Below are 18,808 nucleotides of genomic sequence, written 5' to 3' on the forward strand. Positions count from 1 at the left end.
ATAATAATAGTAGTAGTAGTAGTAATAATAAATACCACTAGTATTCATTCATTCAATCATCAAACACCTACCATGTGTCCAGCTTTGGTTTATGTGTTGGAGACTTAACACCACACAAGCCTCTGCTTACACATGGCTTACATTTTAAAGGGGTGGGGCAGACCACCAATAAATAAACCATATGTGATTATAGGTAGTCATAAGTGCTATTAAAAATTGGACAGGAGAGGCCGGGCACGGTGGCTCACGCCTGTAATCCCAGCACTTTGGGAGGCTGAGGCGGGTGGATCACGAGGTCAAGAGATCAAGACCATTCATTCAAGACCATTCAGGCCAACATGGTGAAACCCCTTCTCTACCAAAAATACAAAAATTAGCTGGGCCTGGTGGTGCACGCCTGTAGTCCCAGTTACTTGGGAGGCTGAGGCAGGAGAATCGGTTGAACCTGGGAAATCATATCATTTCATCTGTAAATTTTTAAAAGTCATTCCATGTTAATTTTATATTGCAGTGAGCTGAGATCCCACCACTGCACTCCAGCCTGGCAACAGAGCAAAACTCTGTCTCAAAAAAAAAAAAACAAAAAAAAACAAATTGGACAGGAGAGAGCAAGACTGGATGGGGGTAGAGGGTACACTATTATAGGCAGAATGGTCTGGAAAGGCCTCTCTCTGAGAAGCACGTATATGACCAGCCATGCATGTCAGCAAACTAGGAGGAGGTATGGCATTTGATGCCATACTTTACACTCCTGTTAAATAATAAACCATGCTATTTCATATAGTTTATAATTATCTATAATTATATAGAAGGATGCAGGTGGTGTATTATTGAGAAAATTTTTGAATAAATGCCACTCTTAACTCTGGTCATTTGCAAGTAGATCACTTTGTACTTCACTGAAAAGACAAGAAAAGTATTACCAGGCCATTAGCTTGGATTTTACAAAGTGAGCATCAACATTTCTATGTCCAGGAAAGTTCTAGGATTCTGCACTAAGTGGACTTAGCCCTGAAGGTGCTGGCCCAGGGTGGAAATGCCTGACAGTGGCAGAGGAGCAGGCAGTGACATCTGTTTGCACTCAGCCAGTGCCAAGAGTTCCACCCCTTCCTCACACGTACCACGCCAGACCATACAACAAGGCCAAGTTTGTGCCAGCTGCTCTGCTAGAGACCTCACAGTTCATTTTATTCAACCATGCAGCAGATATTTACTGAGCTGCTACCGTGTGTCAGGCTCTGGGGATAAAATAGGGAGCAGGACAAAAGCAATCCCTGTGCACTGAGAGCTTGTAGCCTGGTGGGAGAAACAGACAATTAAACAGGCAATTACAACAAACCATAGCAGTGTTATGACAAGGTGCTGTGGGGGCATAGGGCAGGGGTTCCTCCCTTGATTTGGAGGGGTCTTAAAAAGCTTCCCAGAGAAAGTGCTATTTGTTTGAGCTGGACTTAGAGGTTGAGTAGGCACCAGATGTGGCAATTAGGAAAGGATGGAGGAAATAGAGTTCCAAGCAGAAGAAGCATGGAAATGCCTGGAGGTGCAAACCTTGGATTACTTGAGGCCCTGAAAGGCTTAATATTCATGGAGAACTGTGAGAAAAGAAAATCCAGAGACATGTCTGTTCTGTTCGCCTGTTATTCACCTATCATTTTTTCAACAACAATTTTCAACCATATACTGCAATAAAGAGAATAATATAATGACTCCATCATACCCATCACCCAGCTTCAATAATTATCACCTATGGTCAGTCTTGTTTTGTCTGTGCCTCTCCCATTGCACCAACTCCTCTTCTCCCACTCTGTGGGTTATTTTGAAGAAAATCCCAGACATCATATCATTTCACCTGTAAATTTTTAAAAGTCATACCTTATTAATTTTATATGCAACTGCTGGTATAGTATATTCTCATGGAAAGCACTCAGTAAACAAATTCATTTGTTTGCTGAACCAATACACAATTGAGTAAAAGAGAAAAAAGCAGGCAGAAGCCACACGATGAAGGGCTTTGTCTGTCGTCTTGGAGTTTGGCCTCTATTCTGTGGGCCCCAGGGAGTCAGTGCAGGGTCTTGAGTCAGGGAATGACATACAGTGGCCATTCTACCTAAAGTGTTGGAAGGGAGAGTTTGAGGTGGAAGTTGCATCTGCAGAGAGGTTTTTAGGGGCTATATTACAAGTGTAGACCATCAAATTATAACTACATATGGGGGAGAAAGTAGAGGTGGAGGGGGATACAAAAGGCAGAAGAAAAAGCAGAAATAGAAAGAGGAAGAGGAAGAAAAGTGGATAGTAGAGAATGAAGGAAAACATAAGTCCAAGAAAGATGAAGGAAAGCGCTGAAGATGGGAGGCTGTGGAGAGGGCCTGGAGAAGAGGGTGAAGAACACAAGGAGACTGAAAGCTTTTCACCCTTGGTTCTTGTTGTGCCATGCCAGGCAAGTGTCTGCAGAGAGCAGAAATGCCATTTCCTGCCAGTTCTCTTTGCCTCAATGGGCAAAATGTCAGCAGCACTCAAGGGGAGAAGCCTGGTTTCAATATCTGATCCAAGGAGGAAGGGAGAGAGGAGGAAAGTGTGGTGACAGTGGTTCTCAGGGCCTTGCGTGTATCCAAGGAGTATCCAGCCAATGAAGGGGAGGTAAAATCTAGACAGGAAAAGAGCTGGCAGGAACCAGGCCAAGGGGAGAGAACCTCCAGCCAACTGGGAAGAGGTTGAGGGCCAGATCCTCCCCTAGAAGGAGCTGGAATAGGGACAAGCACCGAGGCTCTGGGCAGAAGACCTTTGTCCCTGGCACATCCGAGTGGTGTTTAATAGAATGCCAGCAGCTCAAGGCTCCCACAGACACTGGGGGTGGAGGAGGGGCAGCCACCCTGTCCCCAGGCACACACTACACTCCAGGTGTGGAAGCCACCTGTTGTTCCTGGCACCCCTGCAGGATTTTCAGCCTCGGGGTCTTGGCAAAGCAGATCTTGCAAGTGAACAGCCTTTAGAACTCAAAGCTTGACAGGCAGGGGATCAATATTTGAGATATTTCTATTTTCTAACCCAGCAAGGTTTAATAAGGTTTTATAACCATTGTTTGTTTTAGAGTTAGACAAACATGGGGCTGCCTCTCCTCTCTAAGCCAGATAGTGCTATAAAGGATTTCCCTAAATACAGCTGCCTCTCACCCCACCGCTTCCTCTACGACCAAGGAGGTGCGAGCCCTAAGATGGTGGGAATAGTCATTGTCCCTGCTTGTTTATTGCATAGAGTGTGTCTCCCACAGCACCTCTGTGTGAATGGGGTAGGATTTGGTCTTGTCTTTTTTCGTTTTTTATTTGGACTAGCAAAAGGCTGCCACCTGGAAGTGTTTGCTTTGCAGACTTCACCTTCCCCTGGGTGGTGGCTAACCTTAGACTGCAGTAAGCAGACCCATTTGAGCGATTACTCTGATCTGTGTTCTCTAACCCAGCATTTAGCAGCAGCAAAGGTAGATTTTGGTTAGCTATCTGCCACCTCTTCTGTCCAGAGCAGGAAGGCTTGCTCTTTTTTTAGTCTGTTATTTTGTTTGTTTGTTTTTTTGGTTTTTTTTGAGATGGAGTCTCGCTTGTTGCCCAGGCTGGAGTGCAGTGGTGCGATCTTGGCTCACTGCAACCTCCATCTCCCTGGTTCAAGCAATTCCCCTGCCTCAGCCTAATCCTGAGCAGCTGGGATTATAGGCACATGACACCACGGCTGTCTTTTTTTTTTTTTTTTTTGTATTTTTAGTAGAGACTGGGTTTCACCATGTTACCCAGACTGGTCTCGAACTCCTGACTTCAGGCACTCTGCCCACCTCGGCCTCCCAAAGTGCTGGGGTTACAGGCATGAGCCACCGTGCCTGGCCAAAGGCTTGCTCTTTATGAGGCCCTCTGGAGACCCAAATGATGCTCTGTGGGGCCAGGCCTCTGTAGACAAGGCTCAGCCAATAACAATGGAAAATGTCTTGATCTCTTTTGTTACTACCCCAGGGCCCATGGTGAGATCCACTGACAGTGTCTTTTGGTGTGTTTTTGACACCAATTGACAAGTTTCTCCCAAACTCTTTATGGAGACATTTGTATCAAGAGAAACTGGCCAGATGTGACAGGTTCCCTCCTGTAATCTTAATGCTTTGGGAGGCCGAGGTGGGATGATCGCTTGAGGCCATGAGTTCAAGACCATCCTCAGCAACATATCTCTACAAGAAAACAACAACAAAAACTAGCCAGGTGTGGTGGCACATACCTGAAGCCCTAGCTACTTTGGAAGTTGAGGCTTGAGCCCAGGAGTTCAAAGCTGCAGTGAGCTATGATCACACCACTGCACTCCAGCCTGGGCAACTTAGCAAGATCTTTACTCCTTACAAGAGAGAGAGAAACTGATGGGAACAGTAAACAAAGGGGACTGTAAGCAAGGAGTTGGTGGAGGTCATTGATATTCCCTCAGTGCAAAACTGTACACATCTTACCTAAAAGAAAGTAGCCACCCTTAGCCTATCTTGCTCAAGAATATTGGTCACAATTGACTGTGCACTCTGTTCCTGCATGAAGGACCAGCTATGACATGGCAGCTTCTCGGGGCTTCAGGTTCCATTTGAAGATTTTCTTATTTCTCTCCCTGTCCCTCCAGAAGCTGCTGGATTAATCAGACACTAACCTCTGCTCTCTAGTATGAATGTCTGTGCTTAAAACTGGTGCTCCTAATAGTACAATACAGTAATAGCTCATCATCTATTATCAGAGAATATAAGAACATTTTCAAAAAAAAAATCACAATTTAATTATTGATATGTATAGGTTGTAGCCATTTTGTAAAACAAAAAAGCACTACTCTGCTTTTATTAATAGGATGGGCTGGAACATAACTTAAACTTCTGATAATGATAATTTAGGATTGCTGTTGGACGCTTCTGATAGCACATTCTGCCCATGGAAGAAACAATCTTTCTTCTCCTGAATTGCACCAGATTGCCTCCCAGGCAGCCAGCTTTGCCTCTGCTCCCATATCTTAAAGTTTAATAGCTTTACTTTTGTACCAGTCTCCCTTTAGTAGGCTGTCTACAACCCCAGATATTCATAGAATGAGAATTTTTAGATCTAGAAAAAAATTGGCACCTCCACAGTCTTTGATTGTCACCTAGGGCAGAACCGCAGGTTACCAAGGAAACCAAATAATCCCGTATTGTTTGTGATACTAAGTCAAAGTTGCTCTCTGTGCATCTGAAGGAACAAAGTACCAAGACTTTGTCACAGTTGCCACTGTTAAGGTCAGAGTCTTTTAAACGTAGTCACTGTTAGTCTGGAACTGTACCCAGGGAAGGGAATACTACAGTACCCAGATTTTATTCTATCGATAGCAATAGTAGGTGTCCTAGTGATTGGAACTAAGTTCCACCTCAGAGTCACGTGTCTCTTGAGTCAGTGTTGTATTCACCTGTGGATAACTGTGGGCAGTTAAGAGTGGTATAAAATAGTCCAAATAAAAGGTGAGGGAATCTTGATGAGAATGGGAAAGAGTCCAAATCTGCTAGATGTTCCAAAGTCACAACTGGAAGTTTTGGTGACTGGTTTCTGGAACAGGAGGGGGTGAAGTAGAGGAGCCAGCTCTCTAACTTGGGTGGTGGCACAAGCCAAGATTTAGAGCACATGGGTAGGACACGTAGATGGCAGGTTTCTCTGTGCACATGTAGTCTAGCAGCCCAGAGGATACTCGGGGAAAATGTAGTCATCCTTGGCTTCACAAACATTCAGATGACAACTGTTCTGAGAGGTGCATATGGAATTGCCCTGACTATGAACATCATGTGGTGGAAAGAGGTGGGACATTGGTTCTTTTGGGTCAAGTTCTCCTACTAACTAGCTATGGAACCTTAAGCAAGTCGTAACTGTTCTTCGTAAGTCTCTAAAATGAGAATGAGAATATCTCTAAAATAAAATGAGAATATTTTCAAGGTCTGTTTCAAGTGTCACATTTAGAGCCAAATGTACTTTGATTCACTCTGTCACTTTTTCCAGGGAGGTATATTTGCTTATTTATTCAATTATATATTTGTGAATTGCCACAAGACATCCATGCCAGTTAAGTCTCACAGCTTTGTCAGTTGAATTAAGTATAATTATTGTCTCTCTGTCAGGATATCACTTGCCTGTTATGGTTTGAACCTAGTGCATTGTGTGATGGTTACTTTTTAAAATAGTTGCAGATCTTGGACTTTCATCATTGTCATAATTCATCTGCCAAAACATCCCCAGGCCTCACTTGCTGTCATGCAGCTTTTTGTTTTTAATTATGGTAAAAAAAAATCACACAACACAAAACTCACCATTTAAACCATTTTAAAGAGTACAGTTCAGTGGCCTTTAGTACACTCACAATGTACAACCATCACCACTATCTAGTTGGAGAAGAATATCATCTCAAACGGAAATGCTCTACCCATGAAGCAGTCACTCCCTTACCCCTTCTCCAGTCTATGACAACCACTAATCCACCTTCTGCCTCTATGGATTTGCCTATCCTGGACATTTCATACAATATGTGTCCCATTGTGTCTGGCTTGTTTCATTTAGCATAATGTTTTCAAAGTTCAGTATGCTGTGGTATGGTTCAGTACTTCATTCCTTTTGTGACTGACTAATATTCTATTGTATGGATATACTGCATTATATTTATCCATTCATCCATTGATGGACATTTGAGTTGTTTCCACCTTTTGGCTACTGTAAATATTTCTATGGTGAAAACATATATACAAGTTTTTTTTAAACATGTGTTTTCAATTCTTTTGGTTACATACCTAGAAGTGGAATTGTTGGGTCTTATGGTAATTCAACATTTAACTTTTTGAGGAACTGCCTAACTATTTTCTAAAGCAGCTGAACCATTTTACATTCCCACCAACAATATATGAGGATTCCAATTTTCCTACATCCTCACCAACACTTGTAATTTCTGTTTTTTTTTAAATTTTTTATTATAGCAAGCCCGGATGGGACTATAGAAAGCATGCTCCAGTGGGTGTGAAGTGGCATCTCATTGAGGTTTGGATTTTCATTTTTCCAGTGACTAAGGATGATGGGTATCTTTTCATGTTCTTTGCTGACCATTTGTATTGTGTCTATACAGGTATTTTGCTTATTTTTTCCATTGGATTATTTGTCTTTTTTGTTGTTGAGTTGTAGGAGTTTTTTGTATATTCAGCATTCTAGATCCTTATCAGATATATGATTTACATATGTTTCTCCCATTTTGAGGGGCTGTTTTTTCACTTACTTGTTAGTATCCCTTGATATAGGAAAGTTTTTTATTTTGATGAAGTCCCACTTATTTATTTTTTCTTTTGTTACTTGTGTTTTTGATGTCCTAACTAAAAAATCATTGCCAAATCCAAGGTCCTGAAAACGTGCTACTATATTTTCTTCTGATAGTTTTATAGTTTTAGTTCTTGCATTTAGGCCTTTGATCTAGTTTGAGTTAATTTTTGTATGTAGTGTGAGTTGGGGGTCTGACTTCATTATTTCGCATGTGGGCATCGGTTGTCTTGGTGATACTTAGGAAGGTGTTTATACCTATTGGTTAGTCCATGGCAGCTAACCACATAAACTATGCTATGGTTCCTTATATTGTGCCCATATGTAGTGGACACTACTGGTTGCCTACCAAAATCTATTACTCCTTATTTTTTCCTGAAATAATCCTAGTTTTGTTTCGGTATTCGCTTTTTTCCCCACATGATTCAGGGTAAAGTAACCCCACCCTAGGCTCTAGATCCTAATTACTTTAAGCCTGCTGTTCTCAGAATGTCATCTATAAACCCTTGAAGGTTTCCTAGACCCTTTCATTAATTCTGTGAGATCAAAACTGTTTTTAAAAGAATACTAAAGTGTTATTTGTCCTTTTCACTGTAGGTAACATTTGCACCAATGCTACAAAACCACTGGTGGGTAAAACTGCTGGTGCCACACACTATATACAAGATAGTAATAGTAGTTGTATTTTTGTATTCCATCATGCACTTGCAGAAAAAGAGAAAAAGCTAGTTTCACTTGATGCCCTTGAAGAAAAAGTCAATATTTTAAATTTAATTAACCTTTGACCTTTGAGTATACTTTTTAAAAATATTCTATATGAAAAAATACAAGTAACCTTCTGTTACATGTTGAAGTATGATTGTTATCTCAAAAGAAAGCACTTATGTGATTGTCTGGTCTGCAAGCTAAATTAGCTCATTTTTTTACTTGAAAGGATGATTGACAAACTATGTTTATTTAGACATAAGTATTTATAGACATTATTTCAAACTTGGACAAAGGGAGCCTCTTTGGGGAAACCAATTGACAGTATTTGACGCCAGGGATAAAGTTCAAGCTTTTGAGCAAAATTAGAATTTTGGAAAATGTGTATCCACTATTGTGAGCTTGATAGATTTCCATATTTTATTAACAGCTTCTGAATATTTAGATTTTTCTGATATCAGTGGCAATATTAGTGAACATGATTGTTTTGACATTATATAATGAAAGTGTCAATATTTGGAAGATCTGCATAATTCAGTGAACCAGTATTTTCCAAATGACCAATGTTTGACTTTACAAAATTATGCACGTATAAAAGATTAATTCAAAGTGCAAGACAGATCAATACATATTAATGTAACAACATAAAAAGTTCATTACTATGGTTTCCGTGCACACAGTTTTCAGGGTTCTATTATTCAAGGTGCATCTCCATCACCTGCCAAAGTGGAGGCAGATGGCTCAAGCTCAGGCAATCAGGCTGTCTCCTCCACTGGAAATTGATCTTGGGTGAAAATAAAAAAGCATAGAAAACTGTTGAAATTGACACTGGGAAGAGATTTTTCACTTATTCTTGCTACCTGAATCCTGAGAATTGCCCTGATTCCTGCCCCTTCTGAGGTCTGGTCCCTCAACTTTTTCTTAGATTTGGGAGCCACCTGTATCCTTAAAAAAGTATTTTTTGCTCAAGGGAGCTACAGTCTGATTCTGTTGCTTTCCACCAAGAACTCTGATAGAGACGTAGAAACCTACTGTGAGTCCTCTCTTGCTGGGACACCGAAGCTCTCCCTGCCATGCTGTGCTTCCTGTGCCTCTCACCTATAGATCTGAGACCTTTGAATGACATTGTTGATGAATAATGAATGGAATTAATTAACTTGACTAGCTTTCCCCAGTGCTATGGGCTGACTGTCCCCCCAAATTAATGTGTCAGAAACTTAATCTCCAATGTGACAATGTTGGGAGGTGGGGCCTAATGGGAAGTTAGATAATGGGGCCCTCATGAATGGATTAATGCTGCTATAAAAAGGACTTGCAGGAGTGTATTTGCCTTCTTCTGCTCTTCTGCCATGTAAAGACACAGTGCTTGTCCATCTTTCACTTGCCCTTCCATCTGCTGTCATGTCAGGATGCAGTAAGAAGATCCTCACCGGATGCCAGCACCTTGATCTTGAACTTATAGCCTCCAGAACTGTGGGAAACAAATTTCTGTTCTTATTGAATTACCTAGTCTGTGGTATTCTGCTATAGCAGCACCAAATGGACTAAGACGCCTGGTTAACATTCATCATCTGTTCATCTGCTTACATCCCTGTGGATATGGACCACTTGTCTGAGCCAGGCCAGTAATCTGCATATCCATTCAGACAGTATAGAAGTGATAGCCTAGGTGCCTTCCTGAGGGCTAGACTGAGCCTGTCCTGATTCTTTTCCCTTTCCATTAGCTCTGTGCTTACGAGTTCCCAACATTCTTCAGATCCAAGGCTTTCATGAATTTATAGTGGAGAAAGAATCGTACCTATTTTATATACACTTTCATCATGAATTGGAAAGAACAGAGGACCTAGCATAAGAATACCTGAATTCAAATCTCAGCTTTACTACCTGCTATGTGGCCTTGGGCAACTCATTTAATTTCTCTTGAGTCTCAGTTTCCTCATTTGTGAAATGGGAGTTGTAACTATTCCTGCTTTACTTACCTTACAGAGAGGTTGTAAGGATCAAGTTACATAATGGATGTGACAGCAGCCTAATATCCACTAGTTTAACTTTCCCAAGGATCAGGATCTGTGTTTTATCTGCATTGCATCGACACGGCACGATACCTGGGTCACAGTAAATACTTACAACATGTTGGTTGAAGTAACCTCCTTGGGAGGGAGTTGTTACAAAGCTCAACTAGAACTGGGACTAAACTAGCAATGGGAAAAAAGAGGAGCAAACTCAGAGCATGTGGCCTCATTATTCTATAGTCTTGTTCACTGGCTCCTCTTTTAGGTTCTTTTATACTGGACTGTTTTTTCACAACACTAAAAACCTGGGGTTTTTCCTTCCCCAGTTGCCATTGAAACTGGAACTGCTTGAAAGAGCAGCTGAGCAATTCATCAGGCTCTGTGGCTTAGAAGGAGATGCGAGCTCACTCTAAATGAGATTTCCAGTGACACAGGCTCCAGCGGGGATGTTACAATTTCACAGTCACACGTTACTGGCATTGTTTTAAGCTTGCATGAAAGCTTTTGCTAAACCCAACTGCTTCAAGGTTTGCACCAACCACTTGGGCAAACTGCCAGTCGCTATGCCACATTCTTTCCACATCTGAAGGATTATTGAATATCCCTCACAGATTCTTGCTTTCTTTCTTTCATGAGACAGGATCTTGCTCTTTTGCCAAGCTGGAGTGCAGTGGTGTGATCATGGCTCACTGCAGCCTTGACTTCCTGGGCTTAAGCAATCCTCCCACCTCCGCCTCTCAAGCAGCTGGGACTACAAGTGCATGCACCATGCCTGGCTAATTTTTAAATATTTTTTGTAGAGACAGAGTCTCACTATGTTGCCCAGGCTGGTCTCAAACTCCTGGGCTCAAGCAATCCTCCCATCTTGGCCTCCCAAAGTGTGAGCCACTGCACCCGGCCTCTCACAGATTTTTCTAGGGTGAAACAACCCAGCAGATATGGACTGTACCCTTGGAATGAGGCAAAGACTGAAGGGATTTTCTTATTGTTGTAATTAAAATTTTATTTATATTGAAGGAAAATTTATATCTAATAATACTCATAGATTGTAGTTGTGCATTGGATTAGTTCTTTCAAATGTAAACACCTAAGTAATCACCTCCTCAATTGAAATGTAGAACATTTCTGTCACTCCAGGAGGTTACCTTCTCTCTTCTTTCTTTCAGCTCCTGCCCCAGACAACAGGCAATAATATCCTAGCCTTCCATTAACACAGATTATTTTTGGCTTGTCTAGAATTTCTTATAAATGCAATCATATGATACATACTCTTAGTTTTCTATTTTTTTGTATCTGAGTTCTTGTTTTTGAGATTTATCCTTGTTGTTACATGTATCCATTGTTCACTAATTTTAAATTGCTGAATAACATTTCATTATGTGAATAGACCACAGTTTGTTTATCCATAATCTTTTTGAGATTTATCCTTGTGTCATGCATATGTGCTTGTTCTTTTTTATTACTGAGCATATCCTACTATACAAATACACCACAATTTATCTATTTTCTTGTTGAGAAACATTTGAGTTGTTTCTAGTTTTGTCTTCTGTGAATAAAGCTGCTATAAAGAGACTTGTAAAAGTCTTTTTTTTTTTTTTTGAGAGTCTTGCTCTTATCACCCAGGCTGGAGTGCAGTGACGTGACCTCAGCTCACTGCAACCTCCGCCTCCTGGGTTCATGTGATCCTCCTGTCTCAGCCTCCTGAGGAGCTGGGACTACAGGCACCTGCTACCAAGCCCAGATAATTTTTTGTATTTTCAGTAGAGACACGGTTTCACCATGTTGGCCGGGCTGGTCTTGAACTCCTGACCTCAGGTGATCCACCCACTTTGGCCTTCCAAAGTTCTGGGATTACAGGCATGAGCCACTGTGCCTGGCCAAGTCTCTTCATGGGGATTTGTTTTGCCTAGGAGTAGAATTACTGGGTCATATGGTAGGTGTATGTTTAACTTCATAAAAGACTCTCAAAACTTTTCCATAATGGTTGTACAATTTTACATTCTCACCAACAATGTATGAAGTTCTAATTGTTTCACATTTTCACTTACACATGTCTTTCGTTTTAATCATTTTAGTGGGAGTGACATGGTTGGTATCTCATAGGGTCAGGGGACTTTTAATGGAATTTCTGTATTTGCTACTCACAACCCTAGGCAGGAGAGATGACAGCAACAGGAGGACCCTGGCAGCAATTAGGGGTTCTGGTACTCCACTCTCTCCCTCCCCCCATCCTTCACCAAGCTATATTTTTTCTTCACAATACCCCCTAAATCTGACACTTTTTCACTTTCAGAATTTTACTTTAGTTAATTCTTTCACAGTTTCTGTTTGGAGTTGAATTCCTGAACCTGGATCCAACTTCAGCCCCTGTTCCAGGAGACAAAGCAAATGGTATCAAGAAAGGTGCCTCCCTCTCACCTCCACCTCATCTTTGCTTTCTGACCTCCTTAGGATTATAATTTCACTAGAGTATGCAAATCATAGCAGACATCATGGCCATTCTATCGTGTGGAACAGAAAACTCTTTGAGTAATGAAGATGATTCATAGGAACCATAGAACTTAATCTAGTGATCATCAGAGCTTTCCCAGAAGGATGACTTTAAGTGTTTGAGGCTAAGTGGCATCTCTCTTCTGTAGATTCGTTTTCTTTTTTTTCTTTTTTCTTTTCCTTTCTTTCTTTCTTTTTTATTTATTTATTTATTTATTTTTGACGGAGTTTTGCTCTTGTTGCCCAGGCTGGAGTGCAATGGCATGATCTCGGCTCACTGCAACCTCTGCCTCCTGGGTTAAAGCAATTCTCCTGCCTCAGCCCTCCGAGTAGCTGAGATTACAGTGCATGTCACCACGCCCAGCTAAGTTTTGTATTTTAGTAGAGACGGGGTTTCCCCATGTTGGTCAGGCTGGTCTCGAACTCCTGACCGCAGGTGATCCACCCGCCTTGGCCTCCCAAAGTGCTGGGATTACAGGCGTGAGCCACCACGCCTGGCCTCTCTGTAGATTGTTAGATTTTCATCTTCATACAACCCTTGCTTTATGGGAGCTCTCCAGGGTCCTGGACTTCTGCTTGAAATAATCTCTTGACACTGGAAACTAGTGTTCCATGCCTGCATTCAGCCACTGTCTCCATGTGTCTTAAACACTGGCCCTCTGATACCTGCTTTTAATTCCAACCCAAGTCCTCATGCCTGTGACTGTCTTTAAGACATGAATTCCCTCTACGTTTCCTTCTCCTCAGCTACTACCTTTGGCCAAGCTAGCAGCGTCTTCCAACTTAGTGCTTCTCAGATTTAAATGTGCAAATGAGTCACCTGAGGATCTTGTTAAAATTAAGATTCTGATTCTAGGTTTGTGGAAGGGCTCAAGATTCTGCATTTGTGACAAGCTCCCATGTGATTCTGAAGCTGCTGCTCTGTGGAACACACTGAGTAGCAAGGCTCTAACTAGTCTTCCCACTTCCACTCTTGCCCTTCAACACTGGGGTTACCATTGTGAAGGCACACCACCTTTCAGTGATTTCTAGTTACCCTTAGAATGAAATCTAGACTTTTTACTGTGGCCAGAAAAGCTCTGCTGCATGGGCTGGTATCTGTTTATCTTCCTTGCCTCATTAGGTTCACCCTTCTCCTCATTCTCTACACTCTAGCCCACTGGACTTTTGATTGCACTTACAGAAAACCACATACTTTCCAATGCCAGTTATTTATGTATGCCATTACCTCTGCTTGGAACTACCTCATTTCAGTAGGGCTATCTCCTTGTAAATTTGGGGGGGCTCAGCTTAAATGTTCCCTTTTTAGAAACACCTAGCTAGAAGGTAAACCCCATGGTGAAAGAAACCTGTCTATTTTGGTCATTGTTGCAGTCCCAACATATAGCACACATTCAGTAAATACTTGAGGGAGGCCAGGCGCGGTGGCTCACTCCTATAATCCCAGCACTTTGGGAGGCCGAGGCGGGTGGATCAGTCGAGGTCAGGAATTCGAGACCAGCCTGACCAACATGGTGAAACCCCGTCTCTACTAAAAATAAAAAATTAGCTGTGCGTGGTGGCTCACACCTGTAGTCCCAGCTACTTGGGAAGCTGAGGTAGGAAAGTCTCTTGAACCTTGGAAGCGGAGGTTGCAGTGAGCCGATATTTTGCCACTGCACTCCAGCCTGGGTGACAGAGTGAGACTATGTCTCAAAAAAAAAAAAATTTTGAGAGAAAAAGTATGAATATTACAAGCTCTACCCAAACTGGTCTTGATTAACATAGTTTTCTTCCATTTTCAAATAGATAACTTGGTTTTCTGGCTGGTGTTCCAATCACTGATGAGTGCATTCCAGCAGCTTTCTAACTGCTTTGTCTCTACGGCTTCCTGCTTGTTAATCCATCTTACTCTCACCATCAGTTAATGAACCAGAAGTGCTGCTTTTGTTATCTTATTTTCCTGTTATAAAAACAGTAATTCTCATTCCCCATTACTACTGAAGAGTGTCCAAGCTCTTAACAGGATATAGTAGATGGACTGAATTGATGTTGCCAGCTAAAAACCTCACTGTATCCATACCCATTGCAGTGAGATTTTTGAAAATCTCTCATCATAAGGTAGAATCTACTTCTCCCTCCCTTGAATATCAGCTTGCCTTGTGCCTCAAGAGGCCTTGCAGCTGCCACTGTGTTTCAGAACCCTCTCATGAGAATGCAAGCCTGGACTAGCCTGCTGGAGGAAGAGAAATCATGAGAGGGGAGCCTCATTGTCCCAATTGAGTCTAATCTTAGATCAGCCTTGTCTGGGGGAGGGGGAGGAGTCCTCTGGCCACCCACATGTTTGATGACTCACTAGAAGGACTCCCAGGACTCAGAGTCAGTTGTGCTCATGGTTATAGGTGATCAAAGGATACAAGACAGCATCAACAAGGGAAAAAGTCACATCAGTCTGGAGGAGTTTAAGTGCAGGCTTCCAAAGCTTTGTGTCTGGTGCAGGAGGTGGATTACACAGAACACACTTTTTCTTCCAGCAATAAAATTAAGTAACACATACACAATATTTCTGACTAGGGAAGCTGACTGGAGGCTCAGAGTCCTGGGATTTTATTGCAGAAATAGGCAGAGGATGCCTATGTGATCAGCCACAATTACTGAAATTCCAGTCCAGTGTAAATCACAGTGTTTGGATAAACATTCTAGGCAAGCTGGTGTGGTAGGATTCAGTGCCGTGGGCATGCCAAACAGCCTTATCAGTTAGGTGGTAGATAGAAGGATAGAATAAAGGCCCTTTGAAGGTGGTTAAGTTTCTATACCCAGAACCTGTTCATATGTTACCTTACATGACAAAAGGGACATTGCACATATGATTACATTAAGGATCTTGAAATGGTAAGATTTTCCTGAATTATTCAGGATTAAAGTCAGCAAGGGCAAGATAAAGGAAGTAGAGCGCAGAGATCCGCTGAAGGAGGGAGAGATTTGAAAATGCTTTGGTGCTGGTTTTGAAGATAGAGGAAGTGGTCATGTCTTAGTCCTTTTGTGTTGCCATAAGGGAATAGCTGAGGCTGCGTAATTTGCAAAGAAAAGGGGTTTATTTGGCTCACAGTTCTGCCAGCTGTACAAGAAGCATGGCACCAACATCTGCTTTTGACGAAGGCCTCAAACTGCTTCCACTCATGTCAAAAGGCAAAAGGGATCCTCTGTGTGCAAAGACTGTGTGGCAAGAGAGTAAGCAAGAGAGGAAGGGAGGTGCCAGGCTCTTTTCAATAACCAGCTCTTTTAGGAACGAATAGTGTGAGAACTCACTCATTACTCCAAATCCTACACCAAGCCTTTCATGAGGGATCTGATCCTATGACCCAAACACTTCCCAGTAGGCCCCACCTCCAACATCGGGGATCAAATTCAACATGAGGTTTGGTCCAACATCCAAACCATAGTGTGTCATGGGCCAGGGAATGCAGATGGTCTTTAGAAGTTTGAAAAGGAAGAAAATGAATTATTCTCCAGAGCCTCCAGAAGGAATGCAGTCCTTCTGATCCATTTTAGACTTCTAATCTCCAGAGCCCTAATATATAAAATATTTGTGTTGTTTTAAGCTACTAAGTTTATAGTAATTTGTTATATCAGCAATAGAAAACTAATATAAATAGTAACATAGGAAGCATTCCAAAAGCAAAGGTCCTAGAAACCAGCCAAGGGTCAGCTCTATAAGCAGGTCCTTTGGAGGAGCAACATCATCAGAACTACAATATTTAACTCTTTCCTATAAAAGCCTACAGCCAGACAATCACCAAAAATGTGAGAGGGACCAGCCAAGATCAGCAGAACAGCCTGCCTGACTGCAGAAATATGAGTGAGCCCAGTCAGGACCAAAATAACTTCAATACTGTGGGAAATAATATATCATTGTGGGCAATAATAAATGCTTTTTGTTTTAAGCCACTGAGTTTTATTGCAGTTTGTTATACAGCAATATCTAACTAATACATGGAATTCAAGGCTTTTGAGTAAACATGTAAGAGCCCAATCCATATATCATATCTTATCTCTTCTTCACAAACTTTGCTTTATTTATACTGATCTATTTAATGTCATCCAAACAATCTGTGTTCCTTCCTATCACTGTCCTTTTCTCCATGTCATCCTTGTATCTCAAGGCCTTTTCCATCCACATCTCTGCCTACTATTTCAGAATGTAATTGACAAGCATTTAGCATGCAATTTTTGTGAGCATCCAAGTTTTCAAGTCTAGTCAACTGATGCCATTTGGAATTTGGTTAGGATCATGAAGTGTGTTACTAGAATTAAACAGGCTTGTAAGTCATTGCCATCTGTAAGCTCTCAAAAGAACAAATACTTCAGAAAATACTTTCTGCACAGATGAGAAACTAGAGTTTGTGAGAGAGCTGCCAAAGTAATTTTTTATATTAGTGAGAAGGAGGCTTATTGATTATTTGAGTGCTTATAGAACTCTTATTTGTTCAGTCCCAGAGCTAAGCTGTCTGGTATACTCATTGGCACTTTGATTGTTTCTGTATTTATAAATGCTAAGAGCTTATCTGGCCCAGTGTTAGGAAGCTTGTTGTATATTTCATTGCTGTCTAAGAGTTAAAGCTAGCTGCAAAGTCTTGAAACCAGCCAGTGTTCTTAGGCAAGAACCACAAGTTGTGCTGACAATCACTAAATGGCGGGGTGGCAAATGGTCTTACTGGGTTGTAAAAATGAAATGCAACAACCTGTATTCATGGAGTGCTTACTATGTACTAAGCCTTGGGCCCAGCCATGGGCATACAGAAGTAAACAACACAGAAATAAATAACCTTTTGGAATTTATAATACAGTGTAAAAATAATAAAGTCTGGAGTAAATAATTTCTGTAAGTCAGCAATGAGATACAATGAGATACACAAGCATTTAAAGACGAAAAAAAATCTGACAATCATGATGTCATCCCAAGAATATCCCAGAATTCTTTGTGTAATGTAATGTATTCATTCCTAATTTTTGTGCCAATATTTATAATAATCTCATAGTCAACAGATATTTGTTGAGTGCTAACTATATCCTAAGCACTTTGACACCAAGGGAAACATGAAAAAATTTAACATATTCCCTGCCCTTGTGACTTTGTACATTCCAGCTAAACATTAATAGCAACAAGAACAAAATATCTGGGCTGCAAAAGTGTGGTTCTTATTGCATTAAATCAATTTAATTTGTATGCCTGGGTAAATCATCAAACACACTCCTAAAAATTATGTTTTTGTTTTCTGGCCAGATTCTTTGATATAGAGATGTGTAGATTAAATGGACAGTCAGGGATAAATATGAATAAACTGCAGGAATGAAAGAGCTGACCCTGGGGCTTCTATTGATGTTTTCAGTGGACCCCCAAGTGTCTCATCTGTATAGTGAGTGTTGTGAAAAGGGAACTAGACTTGAAATCATGAGTTCTAGTTTCCACTCTGCCATGAACCAGCCACAGGGTCTTGGGCAAATCATGTAGCCATTAGTCTCCTGTAAAAACAGGAATTTTACATCAGCTGTGCTTAGCTCCAAAGATGTTTAGCCCTCTGATCTATTTTTCCATATAGGTATTGTTTATATTCCTATGTGTGGCTTAAATTTGTTAGAGAGAACCAGCTATCTAGTGATAGAACTGTCCTATAAGACAACATCTTGTGGCCCCACCAATAACTTCAGCAGCAAGAATATGAAGCAGCAAAGAGCATTTGCTTATCAGAAAAGGCTTCTTTGTATTTAGGTAGAGAGGATCTGGGGCATTAGTGCTGTAGGATCAGTGATTGTGAAAGCCTGTTTTTTCCAAGTGTTTCAGAAAGAACATGAGGCTTCAATTTCAGGATGTTAGCCTTGAGTGGAGCCAGGGTGGGTGTGGCTTTTGCAATTCTGCCCACCCACAGACCCATGGACTGAAAATAGTGCATAGGCTTGCCTTTTAGTTTTTCTTTCTTTTTTTTTTTCTCTGTTAAAGCATGGCTGTTTCTGCCTTAGCAAACCTCCAAGGATGCAGGCTTTGCAACCCTTAAAAGCCAAGGAGCAGGATAGGGAGATTTTTTAGCTTATGATTTAAAGAAGAATCCAACAAAATTTAAAAATATGGTATTATTATTAAAATGCCCCAAGCAAATATTGGTGCTTTAAGAATTTCAGGATGCTGTGGGAGGTGAGCCCATCCAATTGCTTCTCACTACGGAGTCTTGCACATAAAACCCCTGATGGCACCGAATTGATGGCTCAGTCCTTAAACCCTAGGTGGAGAATGATGAATGAGTAAGTAAATAT

At 41.3% G+C, this 18,808-nt stretch overlaps 1 long non-coding RNA gene across 2 annotated transcripts in view, besides 1 other annotated feature; it reads left to right on the top strand.

Annotated features, from left to right (window-relative positions):
* Positions 1 to 18,808, top strand: part of LOC107984005 (uncharacterized) — a 79,776-nt gene that overhangs the window by 17,043 nt on the left and 43,925 nt on the right. The gene's annotated exons all lie outside the window — the stretch shown is intronic.
* Positions 13,007 to 13,207: a silencer, noted in NCBI's record as "peak7131 fragment used in MPRA reporter construct". NCBI's record gives its function as "represses an SCP1 promoter by STARR-seq MPRAs in K562 erythroleukemia cells {active_cell/tissue: K562}" and the evidence as "EXISTENCE:reporter gene assay evidence [ECO:0000049][PMID:32103011]".

The sequence above is a fragment of the Homo sapiens genome, chromosome 8, assembly GCF_000001405.40.
Source record: "Homo sapiens chromosome 8, GRCh38.p14 Primary Assembly".
In the NCBI taxonomy this organism is placed as follows: Eukaryota; Metazoa; Chordata; class Mammalia; order Primates; family Hominidae; genus Homo; species Homo sapiens.